The sequence below is a fragment of the Homo sapiens genome, chromosome 1 (assembly GCF_000001405.40).
Source record: "Homo sapiens chromosome 1, GRCh38.p14 Primary Assembly".
NCBI classification, from domain to species: Eukaryota; Metazoa; Chordata; class Mammalia; order Primates; family Hominidae; genus Homo; species Homo sapiens.
Window position 1 is genome coordinate 246,753,790 of NC_000001.11, and position 16,841 is coordinate 246,770,630.

Consider the following 16,841-nt stretch of genomic DNA (forward strand, 5'->3'; position numbering starts at 1 on the left):
GTCCTTTTAGGGAAGAGGACTTAACGCTCGTAGTGAGTGGGCTCCTGGGACAGTTCCCAGGAGGCAGGGTTATAAGGAGGGGGACAATGGGGATAGGAGAAGGGTCTGGGACAGCAGCTGCTTTTTCTTGTTTTTGGTCCTTTCATTATCCTTCTAGTATTTTAACATGAGACCTAGGGGGCACTCAAGGGGAATATCCTTGTTATCTTTGTCCTTCTTGGTCCCTGTCTTGCTTGGGGTATTTCCCATATTGGGTCCTGGTTAGGCCCCATCTCTCATCTTAGAGATGTGTCTCCTATCCTTTAGCCCCACCTGCTGGAGGCTCCTCGCATTCACACACACTTTCAACCCCCGCAGAGTATCCCGACCACCGAGGAAACGCTTGGCTGCTCCTGTGGTGTTTCTTACCTTGGTCTGTGCACAGAGTTACCTGGTCGCTGCGGTGTGTGATGATCCCTTTCCCCAGGTCGCCAGCCAGTTTCTTTCTGCATTGCTGAGAGTCCGGGTTTATTTGTCACACCCGGTGGGTCTTGATTCCTTACCCCTGAGGCCACTGCAACAAGGCAGCGGGGCATGCCTCCTCATGGGAGAGGACCAGACCCTTCACCAAAGGAGAATGGGAATCCCGGGCGGGCCCCCAAATTTGTTAGAAGTAAATTTTCAGTGCCGCAAAAGAAATAGCACTTGAACATAAATTTTTTCAACTAGGCTGTAGCAGGATAAGCTGCAGACAAAACCCCTCAGACACCAAGTTAAAGAAGGAAGGGCTTTATTCGGCTGGGAGCTTCGGCAAGACTCACGTCTCCAGCAGTCGAGCTCCGCGAGTGAGCAATTCCTGTCCCTTTTAAGGGCTTACAACTCTAAGGGGGTCCGTGTGAGAGGGTCGTGATCCACTGAGCAGACATGTGTCCGTTTCACCTAGGTTATCTAATTTGTTGGCATACACTTTTCATAGTATTCCTTTATACTCCTTTTTATTTCTATAAGGTTGGTAATAATGTTCCCTCTTTTATTCCTGATTTTAGTAGTTTGGGTTTTCTTTCTCTTTTTTTTGGTCTGTCTAGCCAAAATGTGTCAGTTTTGTTGACCTCTTCAAAGAACCAACTTTTAGTTTTGTTGATTTTTTCTATTCTGTTTCATTTATTTCCACAATAGTTTTTATTGTTCCTGGATATGAAATTAATATAAAAATCAGCTGTATTTCTGTATGCCAGCTACAGTTAGAAGGTGATTATTTTTGTAAAAAACACCATTTATGATAGCATTAAATAAATCAAGTACCTAAGAGTAAGTAATAGAAAGTGTACAAGATTTCTTTGAAGAAAACTGTAAACCTTTATTGAGGGACCATAAAGAAGACATAAATTGAAGGATCCAGCGTATTCATGGATTAAAATATGAATCCATTTTGTAGTTAATTTTCTTCAAATTTGTTTATAATCTCATGCAATTCCCATCAAAATCACAAACAGGTTTTTTTGTTTGTTTTGTTTCGATGTGCATCTGGACAAGCTGTTTCTAAAATGTATGTGGAAACTCAAAGGGCTGAGAACAGGCAAGATATTCTTGAAAGAGAATAAGGCAGAAAGACACTCTTGGAGATCAAGACCTGTTATTAAGTCAGCATAAACCCTTGACATATGGTAAAGGGGCTTTTCCTATCATTTTTCTTTTCTTTTTACAAATCCACTTTTACTGGTATTTATTTACTTTTCATTAGTTCAAATCCTTGAGGAGTACAGCATCACAGAGCCGCCGTGACTAGTGGCCTAAGCAGGACGGCTGCTTTGGAATTAGGCACACATTGTGCCACTGTTTCCGTGGGCACACGTTACCTTTCTCCACCTTACTCTGGTTTTGTTTGGTTTGCTGCCAGGAGTCAGTATTATTCTTTGTACACATAAGCGCATTTCCTGCCCAAATCAAATCTCATTTTATGTCAGCCATAAATACCTTCAGTTTTAAGAAGAGCTGTGTCCTCCCTTTGGTTCTGGAGATCCTGCTGACGGCAAAAACGGCCTTGGACCACAGCTTTCCAGGCATACTTGTCATTTAGAATTCCTCCTCCCAGCAGGCCTCCGGGCTTCAAGTTGGCAGGAACAGCAAGGGGGCTTTTCGGTAGATGCTGCTGGGACAATTGAGTATCTACTTGGAGAAAAAATGGAATTGGATTCATACTTTTGCACCCCGTACCAAAATCAAGTTTAGATGGATTGTGGATGCCCTCACGGTTGGGAATGGCTTTTACAAAAAGACAAAGAGGCATTAAATGTAATGAAAAAGTGATACGTTTGTGTACTTTTAAAATTGAGAATGTTTCCCAAAACACACGATTAAGAAAGTCAAAAGGCTAGCTGCAATGTAGGAGTTACTTACAACACGTGGTAAATCCTGACATCACAATTTTGAGCATAAGAAGCCAAACACTCAGTAATAAATCTTGCTTGATTGCATTTCTGTAGAGCTTAGAAACAGGCAAAACTAATTGTACTGTTTAGGGATGAATTCTTAGGTGATTAAACTCTAAAGAAAAGAATTTTTCTTGATTACTGTAAAGGCAGGACGGAAGGAGGGCCTTCTTAGTTGCTGGTTACCTGTAGTTCTTGACCTGGATGTTTACATGTACGTTGGCTTCATAACATACATGAATATACAATTTAATAAAATTGTATTAGGTACGTCTCTATATTTTTCTGTGAAACGCAAATAGTTTTTTAAATTGAATGTAATTTTTTCCTTTTCAATGGCTTAGTTGTATAAGAAAATATGTTTAGATTTTTAAAAAGCTGTTTTCTCCTGGTGTTTGGAATCTTTACATTTGTAGAGATTCACATAGGCCCTTTTGGCTAGGCTCAGATTGAGTAGATAACAAATCAAACCTTTAAGACTTTAGTTCTGTTGTAGTTTTAATAAAACAGAAGAAATAAATCTGTACCAGAATGAAAGTTAGATTTGGTATCTCTGCTTTTCAGTATCATCAAAGCTGAGATAGGAAAACCTGAATCTTTGGATGGTTTTATTGTTTCTCTTATTTTGTTTATTAACAATGAAAGGTACCTTCATATCTGCCTCCCACATATCCCTCTTTGAAAATCTTGTGACAGAATTAGTTTTGAATCTTTCTGAATTACTCTGTTGACCTAAACAATGTAAACAACATAGAAGGAAGGACATAATACAATTATGTACAATCAATATAATAAATGAAGTTTATTCCTGTAATAGAGAATTAAAAGGCCCACCTAGAGGTTGGGAAAGAAAGGTCAGTGCTAGGCCGGGCGCGGTGGCTCATGCCTGCAATCCCAGCACTTTGGGAGGCCAAGGCGGGCGGCTTGCCTGAGGTCAGAAGTTCGAGACCAGCCTGGCCAACATGGTGAAACCCCGTCTTTACTAAAAATACAAAAATTAGCCAGGCATGGTGGTGGGCACCTGTAATCCCAGCTACTCGGGAGGTTGAGACAGGAGAATTGCTTGAACCTAGGAGGCAGAGGTTGCAGTGAGCTGAGATCGTGCCATTGCACTCCCGTCTGGGTGACAAGAGCAAGACTCTGTCTCAAAAAAAAAAAAAAAAAAAAAGGGCCAGCGCTGTGATAGTAAATTCAGAGGTCGTGTCCTCTCCTGGGGTCTCAGCCACTCGTTTCTCGGTGGCGCTAGAGGTAAGGGTTGGGGAAGCTGTAAAGAGTATTGGTAGAATGGAAGGCACTGACAGCCCAAAGTCTCATGAAAGGATGAAAAATCAGTGAATAAATGAGAGTCTGAGTAAGATCAGGCAAATACTAAGGACTCTGTACTGGCTGTGATACCAAAAAGAAATCAAGGGATTGAGGAAAGCAATTAAAATACAAATCATTATTAGTGAACTTTAAATGTTTTAAACAATTATTTTACTAAGACTTCAGTAGGAAGACAGATCTATAACTTGGGGCTAGAGTAAGAGGTGTTGGAGGTAGACGGGGAACCAGGTGTAACAGGATGGAGAGATGGACAGTACACAGTGTATGTATGCATAAATGTGCACACGGACATATCCAGAAATGTTGAGGAATTTGTGTAGGATCGAGAGAGGATTAGGGTGGCTATTCCTGCAGATCATATGGGGCAGAAAAAAAAGGATTAGAGTGGCTGATCTTGAAGGAATATGGTCAATTAGTTGAGTAAAATTGATGAAGTAAAACTAAATAACTTATTACAGAATATAAAGAATGATAGGAGGGGAGAAGAAAGGGCTTCTCGGTGTAAATATTGGGTATGATCAAGCTAATGAATGTGACTGCTCCCTAGCTGGTCATGAAAATTCTCCTCAAGATTATTAAATCAGGGATTATGTCTTGTCCAAATATAAGTGAAATATTGTTTGTAACAATGATAAGTTACTTGGCTTTACATTTTAGTAACTACCCTTTCATGTTTCTTTAACTCTTGAAATATTTTATTAGGGGTTGAGCATTCATGATGGTACCTGGAAGTCAGCAATTTATGGTTTTGGAGATCAGAGTAATTTGAGAAAACTAAGAAATGTATCAAATCTGAAACCTGTCCCGCTCATTGGTCCAAAATTGAAGAGAAGGTAAATTAACTTAAAATCCATTTTTTATATATCTAGTCTAAGTATATTGTTGTTGGGTTGGCTATTAATAAAGTATGTTACTAAGAAAAGCTTGGAGACTAATTTGTAGTAAGTTCAGAATTGTTTTCACAGATAAATAAGATATAATTAATCCATTACCATATGCTTGAGATAAATAAGATATAATTAATCCATTACCATAAGCTTAAGATAAATAAGACATAATTAATCCATTACCATAAGCTTAAGTACTTCGTGTGTAATAAAACATGTGAATCCTAGGAAATAAGTGAATCTTATGATGACTTTTCACTATCAATATAGAAATTAACTGTCAACTAAATTTTATGTGAGAACTTTTTTTCTTTTTTAAAAATTTATTTTAGTTTAGTTTTATACTGCAGGACATATGTGAGAAGTTTAGAGGTAAGAATTTAGGGTTGGGCTGTTGAAAGGAGCGTTCTGGTTTTTTTTTTCTTTTGAGACAGAGTCTCTCTTTGTTGCCCAAGTTGGTCTCAAAGTCCTGGCCTTAAGTGATCCTCCTGCCTCGGCCTCCCAAAGTGCTGGGATTACAGGCATGAGCCACCATGCCCTGCCACTGATTTGCTTATTCAGACATTTACCAGCCAAAGTTGTAATTGCAGGAAATGCAAAATATTCATAGGTCTGTCTTGCAGGTGGCCAATTTCTTATTGTCGGGAACTCAAAGGTTATTCCATTCCTTTTATGGGATCTGATGTGTCTGTTGTAAGGAGGACTCAACGTTACTTGTATGAAAATTTAGAGGAATCACCAGTAAGTATATATGGTTTATTTATCAATAAAGTGTGTGTTACAGTTCCTCTTTCTATTCAGTGTGGGATATTTTTGTTTATAAGGCAGAAAAAGGAAGAGCTAAGTAATACATGTTTCAGCCTCTGGAAATACACAGAATCATTAGGGTAGAACATTTTGTATTTTATAACCTTGTCTTTTGATTCAGATCTGGCTGCTGAATATCTTTTTAATGTAACACAATAGCAGCAAATTCAATACGGGAAATCCTGCTGTCATAAGCACCCCAGAATCCCTGTTTAGGGTTTCAGTTGCTAGAAACTCTTTTGCTTGTGGAAATGTCTGGAACCCTTTCTGTCCCCTCTCTCCTTGCCACGCCTGGAGTTCCATCCTGCTGCTTTTGGCGAGGAAAGTAATTGCTTTCATTGCCGAGACTTCAGGAGGAAATTATATTTCAAGTTAAAAGGTGGAGGGCATTTTCTTATAGGAGTCTACGTTCTGTAATGTATGATTGCTAAGCTCAGATATATTAGGGATTATGTAGATTTTTGTGCCCAAGTAGGGGAAGCTAATTACTATTTATAAACAATTTTCTTTAAAAAGTAGACTATCATACTTCCTGTTCACCAGGTCTGACAAAACAAACAAAAAATAGGCTCCCAATGTCTGGTTTCTGAACAAGATTTCAGAACATAATGCATTTGTAAAGTGGAAACTGCTTTTGTTCCACATTTGTGATGGAAGAGAAAGGTACAAGTAACTAACATTCTTACTTGGTCCAAAATGTAGGGAGTAATGTTCTAACTTTGTCTTCTCCATCATCTAGGTTCAGTATGCTGCGTATGTAACTGTGGGAGGCATCACCTCTGTTATTAAGCTGATGTTTGCAGGACTTTTCTTTTTGTTCTTTGTGAGGTTTGGAATTGGAAGGCAACTTCTCATAAAAGTAAGTAAGATTTTATGAAATTAGATTATTTTTATTAGAAGTATTTTCCATGAGTTTTAAAAAAATATCACTGACGGTTTTTTTTTCCCTTTAGTTCCCATGGTTCTTCTCCTTTGGCTATTTTTCAAAACAAGGCCCAACACAAAAACAGGTAATTTCTTTTGTATTAAGACACTAAAATAATATTTTTCTTTGTGCAATGACGGTATCATCTAACACTTGACAGGGCACTATGTTTCAGATACTCTTTTAAGTTCTTTATGTAAATTAGATTATTCAATCTTTTCAAACACCCCTTGAATGTAGGTATTATTATTATCTCCATTTTACACATCAGAGAACTGAGGCACACAGAGGCTAAGAAACTTGCCCAAGTTTCTCCAGGTAGTACATGGCCCAGCTGGGATGAGAACCCAGCCATTTAGCTCCAGAAATTGTGTTCTCTTCACTTCCAGAAATCTCAAATATTCTTCTTCCTCCATTTTTCTCCTCTGTTATCTTTTCCTTTGTGCCTCCTCTGCCCCCAGTTTCACTTCCTCTTCCACATACCCTGGATTCCGACGGGGGATCAAGTGAATTTCTGTGTGTCCAGCATCCCCAACAATAGGACTGCCTCATTTTCTACCGTTTGGCTTACAGATCCCAACCCTGGCTCAGGCCTTGGGTCATTAGCTTTCATCTCCTTGACACCAGGCACTCCTGGGGGAAATCCCACTGCTGAACAGATGGTAGCAGCAAGTTCCCGTTTCCCCCTCTGTGGAATGTTAGCATCACTTGCTGATTCTTTTCCTTTTCGTTAGTCTTGCCTCTTATCTCCTCTCAGTGGCTTTCTTCAAAATCTACCCAACTGCAGCTGTCTTCCCTATCTGTAAATTATCCCAACTCCTACCTCACTAAAATAATTGAGAGCACTGTTTTGTATCCCCTCAAATTCCTACTCTCAGACCTATCATCATTGTTCCCATCCTGACCTTCTTTCCTCCTCTCTGGATGATATACTCCCTGTACAAGGCTAATCCCCGCCTGTGCACTTAACGTAGCATCATTGTTCCATCCCGACCTTCTTTCCTCCTCTCTGGATGATATGTTCCCTGTACAAGGCTAATCCCCCGCCTGTGCACTTAATGTAGGCACTGTGCAGGAATGCGCCACCACGCCCGGATAATTTTTTTGTATTTTTAGTAGAGACACGGTTTCACCAAGTTGGGCAGGCTGGTCTTGAACTCCTGACCTCGTGATCCACCTGCCTCAGCCTCCCAAAGTGCTGGGATTACAGGCGTGAGCCACTGCGCCCGGCCTCTTTTTTCTTCTTATTGTGGTAAAATACACAAAACATAAAATGTACCATCTTAACCATTTAAAAATGCTGAGTGGTATTAAGTACATTCATCTTTTTGTGCAGCCATCACCACCATCCATGTCCAGAACACTTTTCATCTTGCACAACTGAAACTCTACACCCGTGAAACAATAACTCCTCATTTCCGCCCTCCCCCAGCCCCGGCAACCGCATTCCGCTTTCTGTCTCTATGAATTTGATGACTCCAAGTGCCTCATGTAAATGGAATCAGTCTTTGTCTTTTTGTGACTGGCTTATTTCACCTAGCGTAAGGTCTTCAAGGTTCATCCATATTGTAAGCATGTGTTCGAATTTCTTTAAGGGTGAATGATTGTCTGTTGCCTGTCTGGATCACATTTTGTGTATCCATTCATTCATCAGTGAACACATGTGTTGCCTCCAGCTTTTGGCTATTGCCAGTTATGCTGCTGCGAACATGGGTGTACAGATACCTCTTCAAGACTCTGCTTTAAATTCTTTTGGGCATATACTCAGAAATGGAATGCTAGACCGTATGTGAATTGTATATTTAACTTCTTGAGGAACCACTAAACTGTTCTGCAGAGCTGCTGCACCGTTTTACCTTCCCACAAGCAGTATACGAGAGTTCCAGTTTCTCTGCTTCCAAACCGACATCTGTTATTTTCTGTAATGGCCGTGAGGTGGTGTCTCATTGTATTTTTGATTTGCATTTACCTGATGATTATTAGTGTTGAACATCTTTTCATTTGCAATTATTGGCCATTTGTATGTCTTCTTTGGAGAAAATATTTTCAAATCATATATTTGACAGAAGATTCATATCCAGAAAATATAGAGAACTCCTAGAACTCAATAACAAAAAACAACCTAATTCAAAAATGAACAGAAGGACTTGAAAATATTTTCTGTTATTCTTTGGGTTGCCGTTTTACTTTGTGGATAGTGCAGGCTTCTGTCTCGTGGTTGGTAGTGCAGGCTTCCATCTCTTGCTTGAACTTTTCGTAGCATTCCTACGGTTTCTTTCTAATCTGTCTTCCCACTGCTGTCCAAGAGATCTTTCTAAGACACAAAATCTGACCTTGTCATTGCCTTCTTTATAAAATGTTCCTGGCCCACTGCTTTGGCAGTGATTCTTAACTGAGATTTCATATATCAGAATCATGGCCGGGCGCAGTGGCTCACACCTGTAATCCCAGCACTTTGGGAGGCTGAGGGAGGTGGATCACTTAAGGTCAGGAGTTCAAGACCAGCCTGGCCAACAGGTGAAACTTCATCTCTACTAAAAATACAGAAATTAGCTGGACATGGTGGTGCACGCCTGTAGTCCCAGCTACTCAGGAGGCTGAGGCAGGAGAATTGCTTGAACTCAGGAGGTGGAGCTTGCAGTGAGCTGAGATCACACCACTGCACTCCAGCCTGGGCAACACAGCGAGATTCCTTCTCCAAAAAAAAAAAAAAAAAAAAAGAATCACCTAGGAAGCTTTTTTCACTGACACATGCCCTCATCTTGCTTCTGGACGTTCTGATTCAGTAGGTCTGGAGTGGGGCCTGAAAGCATAGAGCAGTGGTTCCCAACTTTGGAAGAGAACCCAAAACAGATGACCAGAGACTCTGGTTCGGTTGGTCTGGAATGCAGCCTGGGCACTGGGGCTCTCTAAATCTGCCCAGTGATGCTAATGTGCTGCCAGGGTTGAGAATCACCACTGCGGAGGAAGGAAGAAGGTTCCAGATTTGAGTGGTTTTGGTACCCACCCCTGGAGCACAAATGGCCGAAAGTCCATCTTCAGAGATGTGAGGCCATCCTAGACCCTTCATGATCTAGTTCTGGATAGCACATAGGATTCATTTTTCATCCAACTTTGATTAATTGATAGTAGCCACCCAGAGACTATGCTGGGTCGGACAATGTGTGTAGCCTGAGAGAGGATTAGAACCCATTAGTGTGGGCGCCATAGCAGGAGATGGGACAGGTGTGGCATGTGTGTCTGACCTTGTCTGTACCTCTTGAATTGTATGTTCTGGAAAGGCTATGCTACTGCATCCCTTCTTCCCTTTAAATAATGGGTTCTCCTTTCTGGAATCCATCTACTTTTGGGGTTTTAAAACAACCATTAAAATGTGTTTGTGTGTGTGTATATATACAGTTCAGAACCATTGCCCTCTGCCCTGGTAGATTAATAACACCCTCCTCTGAGTTATGCCTGTATGTTTTAGTTCATGTCACATTGTTATTTAATCTGTTTATCTCTCTCTCCCCCCCTTTCCTCCTACTAAACTGTAAGCTCCAGCAAAGGCAGTAATTATGTCTCAGGGCCTCAATGGTATCTGACCCTTAGTTGATACTTCATAAAAATGTGTTGATCATGATTGAATTCTTTATCACCTCATTCCTAAATTTAGTGATTGTGAAAGATGCTAGGATAAGTCCTCAAGAATTTAGTTTTTTGAGTCGAATTTTTACATCTTTAAGTGGAACAATTATATACCTATACTCCAGGCCCATATTTCCATTACTTGCTGGCTATTTTTGTCTTGTCGCCTCAAATAGGTATCTAAAACCAGATTTCTATATTCTGCCCCCCGATAAAAACTATCTCCAGATCATCTTTATTTCCTCCCTATTTCTTACCACTCCCCTTCCCCCCAACATCACGCCAGTCTTCAAAACTGACAGCTTCAAAGAATTAGTTTTCGCTCCCTGCTTAAATGATGACGGGATATTCTGGCAGATAAAATAATGTTTTCATCTATTGACAATGTCTCACTTGAAATAGAATAGTCGGTTTTACTATGTTCCAGGAGGAAATGACGTATTTATGAAATGCGCCCTTTGCCTTCTCCTTCACAGATTGATGCTGCCTCATTCACGCTGACATTCTTTGGTCAAGGATACAGCCAAGGCACTGGTACAGATAAGAACAAACCAAATATCAAAATTTGTACTCAGGTGAAAGGACCAGGTATTTCACATATCACTTAAGAATGCTTGGGAATTTTATACTCTTAAGCTATAAAGTACAATGCCATTACAATATATTCTTTTTAAAGCTTAATTGTTTTAGAAATACATTTGTACAAATTAAGTAACTTAAAATTATTCTGTCAAAGGAAGATTGAAATTATTGATATAATCCAATTTTATTAGTGCATCCCTCCCTCTGGCTGTTTTTGGAGTATGATTCAGTAATTCAGAATGGCAAATTTTAATTAGTATTAATAGGAAAAGGGATTGGTTGATATTCACCTGTTTGAATCTCATATGCAAGTAGTGTAATTATAATGTCAGTCAAATCTGTGCTCTAGGATTTCTTTAGAGTCTCTGAACACCCTGACATTGTTTGTAAAATATGTATGCACACGTGCACTTTTCAAGGGAAGGGAATGGCTTCTGATAGGTTGTTAAAAGAATGTTGCCCAAAACGTTCAAGAACTTTTGCTGTACATTTTACAGAACTATGCAGAGACAGACAGGTCCACTTGTGAACTGTGGTATAATTACTGTCAGAGACAGACAGGTCCACTTGTGAACTGTGGTATAATTACTGTCAGAGACAGACAGGTCCACTTGTGAACTGTAGTATAATTACTGTCAGAGACAGACAGGTCCACTTGTGAACTGTGGTATAATTACTGTCAGAGACAGACAGGTCCACTTGTGAACTGTGGTATAATTACTGTCAGAGACAGACAGGTCCACTTGTGAACTGTGGTATAATTACTGTCAGAGACAGACAGGTCCACTTGTGAACTGTGGTATAATTACTGTCAGAGACAGACAGGTCCACTTGTGAACTGTGGTATAATTACTGTCAGAGACAGACAGGTCCACTTGTGAACTGTAGTATAATTACTGTCAGCCCTTTTAGGTCACAGGCTATAATTTTTTATTGAGACGGGGTCTCACTATGTTGCCTAGGCTGGGCTCAAGCAGTCCTCCTGCCTCAGCCTTCTAAAGGGTTGGGATTACAGGCATGAATTGCCATGCCTGGCCCACGGGGGATTTTAATCAAGCCAGATGATAGTATGTTTCCATCTTGCCCTTTTCTGAAATTCCCACCTGACTTTTTAAGGTAAGTTGACTGTATTTTCATTATTTGACAGGATTATAAATGCTAATGTTCCGTTTGTTTATAAACATTTTTTTAACTTATGTTTAGTCGTTATTCTTTAAGAAAAAATTGAGAGGATTTTTTTGTTGTTTTTAAGTGAAGTGTGTGAATACAGATAGGGATCGGCTCAGTGTACAATAGAGAAACAAAAAACCTAGGATCATTGGCTTCAATGATTGTCAAGAAGCAGTGCAGTGCAGTGGGTGGAGTGTGGACTCTGGAACCAGCTGCCTGGGTGTGATTTTGGCTCAGTCACTACCTGTTAGTTTGGACAAGTCACTTAACCTCTCTCTCTATGGGATAAAAGTAATATTGACCTTAAATAATTGTTATGAAAATTAAATGAGTTTAATAGACCTAAAGCACTTAGTACAGTTCCTAACACTTAATAAATACTTTCGATATGTTATTTTTGTTAAGTGACCAGAGTATCTATTGAAAAAAATCTGCACACCTAGAGTAAGATATAAAATCTACCATTTGATTTTTGATGTTGTTGAATGGGTACTTCATGATTCCTTTCTTTTTCCCTGATCAACTGTTTTCTGCAGAGGCTGGCTATGTGGCTACCCCCATAGCTATGGTTCAGGCAGCCATGACTCTTCTAAGTGATGCTTCTCATCTGCCTAAGGCGTAAGTTTGGTTTTCTTCCAATTAGAAGATCTTTTTTATCTATGTTATATTTTAGCTTATTTTGATTTGATTTTCAGGCTTTGGGTTTGCATGTAAGCATTTATAGTTCAGTTCCTTTGCTTCAAAAATATAGGTAAATTAAAACTGTGAGAAGGACAGCTTCTTACCAGCCCAGAGTTGGTCTCAGAGGAACAACTGTGGAGGTAAATGAGAGGAGACAGAAAAGTTGGAGAGCCATGAGTTAACTTCAGCCCTTTATAAAGATACCTCAAGTCCAGAGTCAGCCACTCAAAAAAGTCCCTGTTGTTAATAGTATTACTAGGAGCTTCCAATCAGTGCCTAACTATACCCAGCTGGCAGTAGTAACCCTGACTGACACCAGCATAAATGGAACCATGGGATCCTGGCTAGATGATTTTCAGACGTACTGTCTTACTGGAGCATTTAGCTGTCCCCCTAAAACTAGGCCAGCTTTTCAAATGAGCAGAGGCCTGCTGCTGAGAAGTAAACCAGGCATGACCTAAAACAGGATTAATAAAAGTAAAATTTGTATATAGTAAAATCTAATTAAATTTTTTCAAATACCTAGGTCCCCCTTGAAAATATTTAGCATTTATGAATGTTAGCTATTATATTTTTAAAAACTTCTTTTTCATCCAATTTAAGTTCTGTTTACACTTTCATAATAATTGATTATCTAAATTTATTCCATTCGGGTCTTTCTTTAATCCCCCTAAGTCTGAGGACTGTCCTTGTAAACAGCAGCGGTTCTTCGGGGTGATGGCGCACAGTGCACCCACCAAACACATGCATAGAATGGAAACAGTATCTCCAGGAACAGAGCCAGTCTAGATAGGGTTGGCTGTGGTGCAAGTTTCTCCTGACTAATAGCTACTTGCTCATTTGGCTGATTTTAGGAAGGAATCAAAGGTAGCCGTGATTACCATGAAGACTTGGGTTTTCAGGGGTTCTGTAGCAATTTGATAGTGAGGCCTGTGAAATAGGAGACTGGAGAGGAGCTGAGTGCACTGTTTTCTCTTGTTATTGTTTTATAGGGGCGGGGTCTTCACACCTGGAGCAGCTTTTTCCAAAACAAAGTTGATTGACAGACTCAACAAACACGGTATTGAGTTTAGTGTTATTAGCAGCTCTGAAGTCTAAACACTGGAAGAATTAACTGAAGTCATAACGTGCGTGAATTAACAGCTTCTCTATTTGATATTTGAAATTCTTCTGTAAGCCTGTCTGAGTGTATGTGGAAACGATTGTCAAATCTAAAATATCTATATATTAAAAAGTAGGAAATTGTCCTAGCTTACCCTAAATTTCAAATCTGAGTTGATTTTGTGATTTTATTGCTTATAACAGAGAACTCATATTTGACATATTTTTTTCATTGATGTGTTCCTGGTAGATTTTCACGAATGAGCTGGCAGGTCTAATGGGGGAGGCGGCGTCCCAGTCTGTGTTGCAGCAGCATTCTCATCGGGGGTGCGCACACCATCGTTACTGTCGGGCAGTAACTGCCGCTTGCCTTGCCGCAGTAGGAGGGAAATCTCACCTTCCTTCCACATACTGTCTTGAGCCTTTGCTAAATTAAACTGCACTTTTTGCTATTTTTGCCTAGTTTTTCGCCAATCTACACTGATTTTGGACTGTTACCTAAGTTGAAAAATAAAAGGTTGTCAATCGAATGGTGGTTTAATGTTTGGACCTGCCGATGTATTTGTATAGTGGTAGAAACATGCTGCTTAAGTGGCCTAACCTGTTTCTTGCCAATAAGTAGGCTTATCATTTTATCTTTACGTAATTCTATATCTGTGACTAGGTTTTTAAGGATACAGCTTATAAGTTGCTATCAATTTTCACTACCTAAGCAGAATTTTTCTCTAATTTACTTTTTGTATTTTAACTAGGTTTTACATGGAAGCCCTAAAATAAGGCAAAAGACTTTTTCTTTTGTAATAAGCATATAATAAACACGTATATACATAGCAATCATGTTGTTCATTACCTAAACAAGACAGCCACTCCTTTATGGAATTTCTACCAAAAAGTGAGGAACATAAAATATTTAGGAATATTATTTGTGTTGGGAGACCCTTCTGCTCTGCCTGTAAGAAGAAGAGGGGGCGGTATCTAACTCAAAGAGGCCTGTAAGGAGAAGTGGGGGAGGGTATCTAACTCAAAGAGGCCTGTAAGAAGAAGCGGGGGGTATCTAACTCGAAGAGGGTGTTCTTGGTGGTAGTATTCCCCACCCTAACTCTGCTTCCTCTGTCCTGGCCTGGTCATCACAAGATACAGATCCTCAGCTGTGCCCTAACTTGTGGGACCTTAGAAAAGGTTTTATCGGCTGTGAAATTAGAAAGCAGTACAGGAGCAATAGAGCCCACGACTAGCTGCACATCTGAATCACGAAACAGTAACAGGTTCCTCCGTGCCTGCAGCAACTTGCGTTCAGGAGGGCGGGAGGTCGAAGCCTCTGTGTTTTTGATATGCATTTGGGAACCGCTGGGTGAAGCTGCATATCCTGTCCCTGTTTCTAGCTTTGCAATGTATGCTCGAGCATTGACTCTGATTCTGAAGGTAGCAGTGTGACCCCATCCTCTGGCTTGAGGTACATGTGTGTCTCATCCTGATTTTCCTTTTAATCCCCCAAGGTTCTGCCTGCTCCCATTTGCTGAAAGTATATGACTCACCTCAGGTGAGTAAACTGCTAATTGTCCAAAATGTTGAGGCTCAGTTCAAGAGACAGAAGCCATTCCTGCTCCCAGTGGCCAGGCCCAGAGGACTGGAGTCTGCCTAGCCTCTACTGTTACGGGGTCTCACTGACAGAGTCTTCCCAGGATTCCGTGATGCCTTTGCTGGCCCTGTCCTGGCTGTCACCACGAGGTGCTCCACGCTTGGGTTCCAGGGTTACAGCAGTTTTTTTAGTTCACTTGTGTATGTGGTCAGGACCTGAGCTGCAAGCAAAACCCATGCCTCCCTTACGAATCCTTGGACCCTGCTCTTAAGCTGAAATCACTAGCCCAGATTCCTTTGTCTTTCTAGAGGTTCCTTTTTGGAGCCCTTGACAGCCTCTCCTGCCAGTGCAGCTTCGGCGTCATCCTATTTGACCTTCCTTAACTTCATATTTTAGGGAGCAAGGATTGAGGTTGTCGCCCCTTATTTTCTCCTTCCTGATTTTTTCTGCATGTCAGCCAGGACTCCCAGGGACAGTCCTGCACCGTCAGGCAGCAGGCCATCACAGTTAGGAATGCAGGCTCTGGCATCAGCCTCTGTGCTTACAGTGGCCTGGGCATGTTACTCAACTTCATCGAATTATTGTGAGAATTAAATGAGCTAACATGTTTAGCACTTGGATTAGTGCCTGGCACATGGTGTAAGCACTTACTAAGTTTCAACGTCATCACTACTGTTGTTATTAGAAGTCTGTCTTTGGGCTGGGCACGGTGGCTCATGCCTGTAATCCTAGGACTTTGGGAGGCCGAGACGGGTGGATCACTTGAGGTCAGGAGTTTGAGACCAGCCTGGCCAACATGGTGAAACCTCGTCTCTACTAAAAATACAAAATTTAGCTGGGCCTGGTGGCGGATGCCTTGTAATCCCAGCTACTCAGGGAGGCTGAGGCAGAGGAATTGCTTGAACCCAGAAGGTAGAGGTTGCAGTGTGCTGAGATCACACCACTGCACTCCAGCCTGGGTGACAGAGCAAGACTCCGTCTCAAAAAAAAAAAAAAAGAAGAAGAAGTAGTAGTAGTTTGTCTTTGGCCACAAAACGTTTCTTTTTTTTTTTTTTTAACTTTTTAAGTTCTGGGGTACATGTGCAGGTTTGTTATATAGGTAAAGTGACATGGGGGTTTGTCGTACAGATTATTTTGTCACCCAGGTATTAAGCCTAGTACCCATTGGTTAGTTTTCCTGACCCTCTCCTTCCACCCACTCTCCACCCTCTGAGAGGCCCCAGTGTTTGGTGTTCTCCTCTATGTGTCCATGTGTTCCCATCACTTAGCTCCCACTTATAAGTGAGAACATGTGGTATTTGGTTTTCTGTTCTTGCATTAGTTTGCAGAGGATAATGACCTCCAGCACCATCCATGTTCCTACAAAAGACATGATCTCATTCTTTTTATGGCTACGTGGCATTCCATGGTGTATATCTACCACATCTTCTTTATCCAGTCTACTATTGATGGACTTTTAGGTTGATTCCATGTCTTTGCTATTGTGAATAGTGCTGCAATGAACATATACATGTGTGTCTTTATAACAGAACAAGTTATATTCCTTTGGGTATCTACCCAGTAATGGGGCTGCTGGGTCAGAAGGTATTTGTTTTTCGGTCTTTGAGGAAGAACCACACCGTTTTCCACAACGGTTGAACTAATTTCCACTTTCACCAACAGTGTGTAAGCATTCCTTTTTCTCTGCAACCTCGCCAGCATCTGTTTTTTGTTTGTTTTTTGAGACGGAGTTTTGCTTTTGTTGCCTG

General features: G+C 40.7%; 1 protein-coding gene and 1 pseudogene across 1 annotated transcript in view, besides 3 other annotated features; one reads left to right on the forward strand and one right to left on the reverse strand.

The window, feature by feature from the left end:
- Positions 1–14,348, forward strand: part of SCCPDH (saccharopine dehydrogenase (putative)) — a 43,729-nt gene extending 29,381 nt beyond the window's left edge. Inside the window, exons 6-12 of the mRNA NM_016002.3 lie at positions 4,437–4,567; positions 5,245–5,362; positions 6,168–6,287; positions 6,382–6,438; positions 10,457–10,568; positions 12,269–12,350; positions 13,406–14,348. Coding sequence (NP_057086.2) covers positions 4,437–4,567; positions 5,245–5,362; positions 6,168–6,287; positions 6,382–6,438; positions 10,457–10,568; positions 12,269–12,350; positions 13,406–13,511 — 726 coding nt within the window. The 3' untranslated portion in view covers positions 13,512–14,348. The remainder of the gene's footprint in view (positions 1–4,436; positions 4,568–5,244; positions 5,363–6,167; positions 6,288–6,381; positions 6,439–10,456; positions 10,569–12,268; positions 12,351–13,405) is intronic.
- Positions 233–383: a silencer, noted in NCBI's record as "fragment chr1:246917324-246917474 (GRCh37/hg19 assembly coordinates)". NCBI's record gives its function as "represses an EF-1alpha promoter that drives an FKBP-Casp9 reporter gene in an ReSE screen in HepG2 liver carcinoma cells {active_cell/tissue: HepG2}" and the evidence as "EXISTENCE:reporter gene assay evidence [ECO:0000049][PMID:32094911]".
- RPL35AP6 (ribosomal protein L35a pseudogene 6) lies at positions 1,722–2,043 on the reverse strand (annotated as a pseudogene).
- Positions 14,532–15,190: an enhancer, noted in NCBI's record as "NANOG-H3K27ac-H3K4me1 hESC enhancer chr1:246931623-246932281 (GRCh37/hg19 assembly coordinates)". NCBI's record gives its function as "activates a minimal SCP1, AML or CMV promoter by ChIP-STARR-seq in naive H9 embryonic stem cells {active_cell/tissue: H9 hESC(naive)}" and the evidence as "EXISTENCE:reporter gene assay evidence [ECO:0000049][PMID:30033119]".
- Positions 14,678–14,972: a silencer, noted in NCBI's record as "tiled region #1181; K562 Repressive non-DNase unmatched - State 15:Elon". NCBI's record gives its function as "represses a minimal TATA promoter and a strong SV40 promoter by Sharpr-MPRA in K562 cells {active_cell/tissue: K562}" and the evidence as "EXISTENCE:reporter gene assay evidence [ECO:0000049][PMID:27701403]".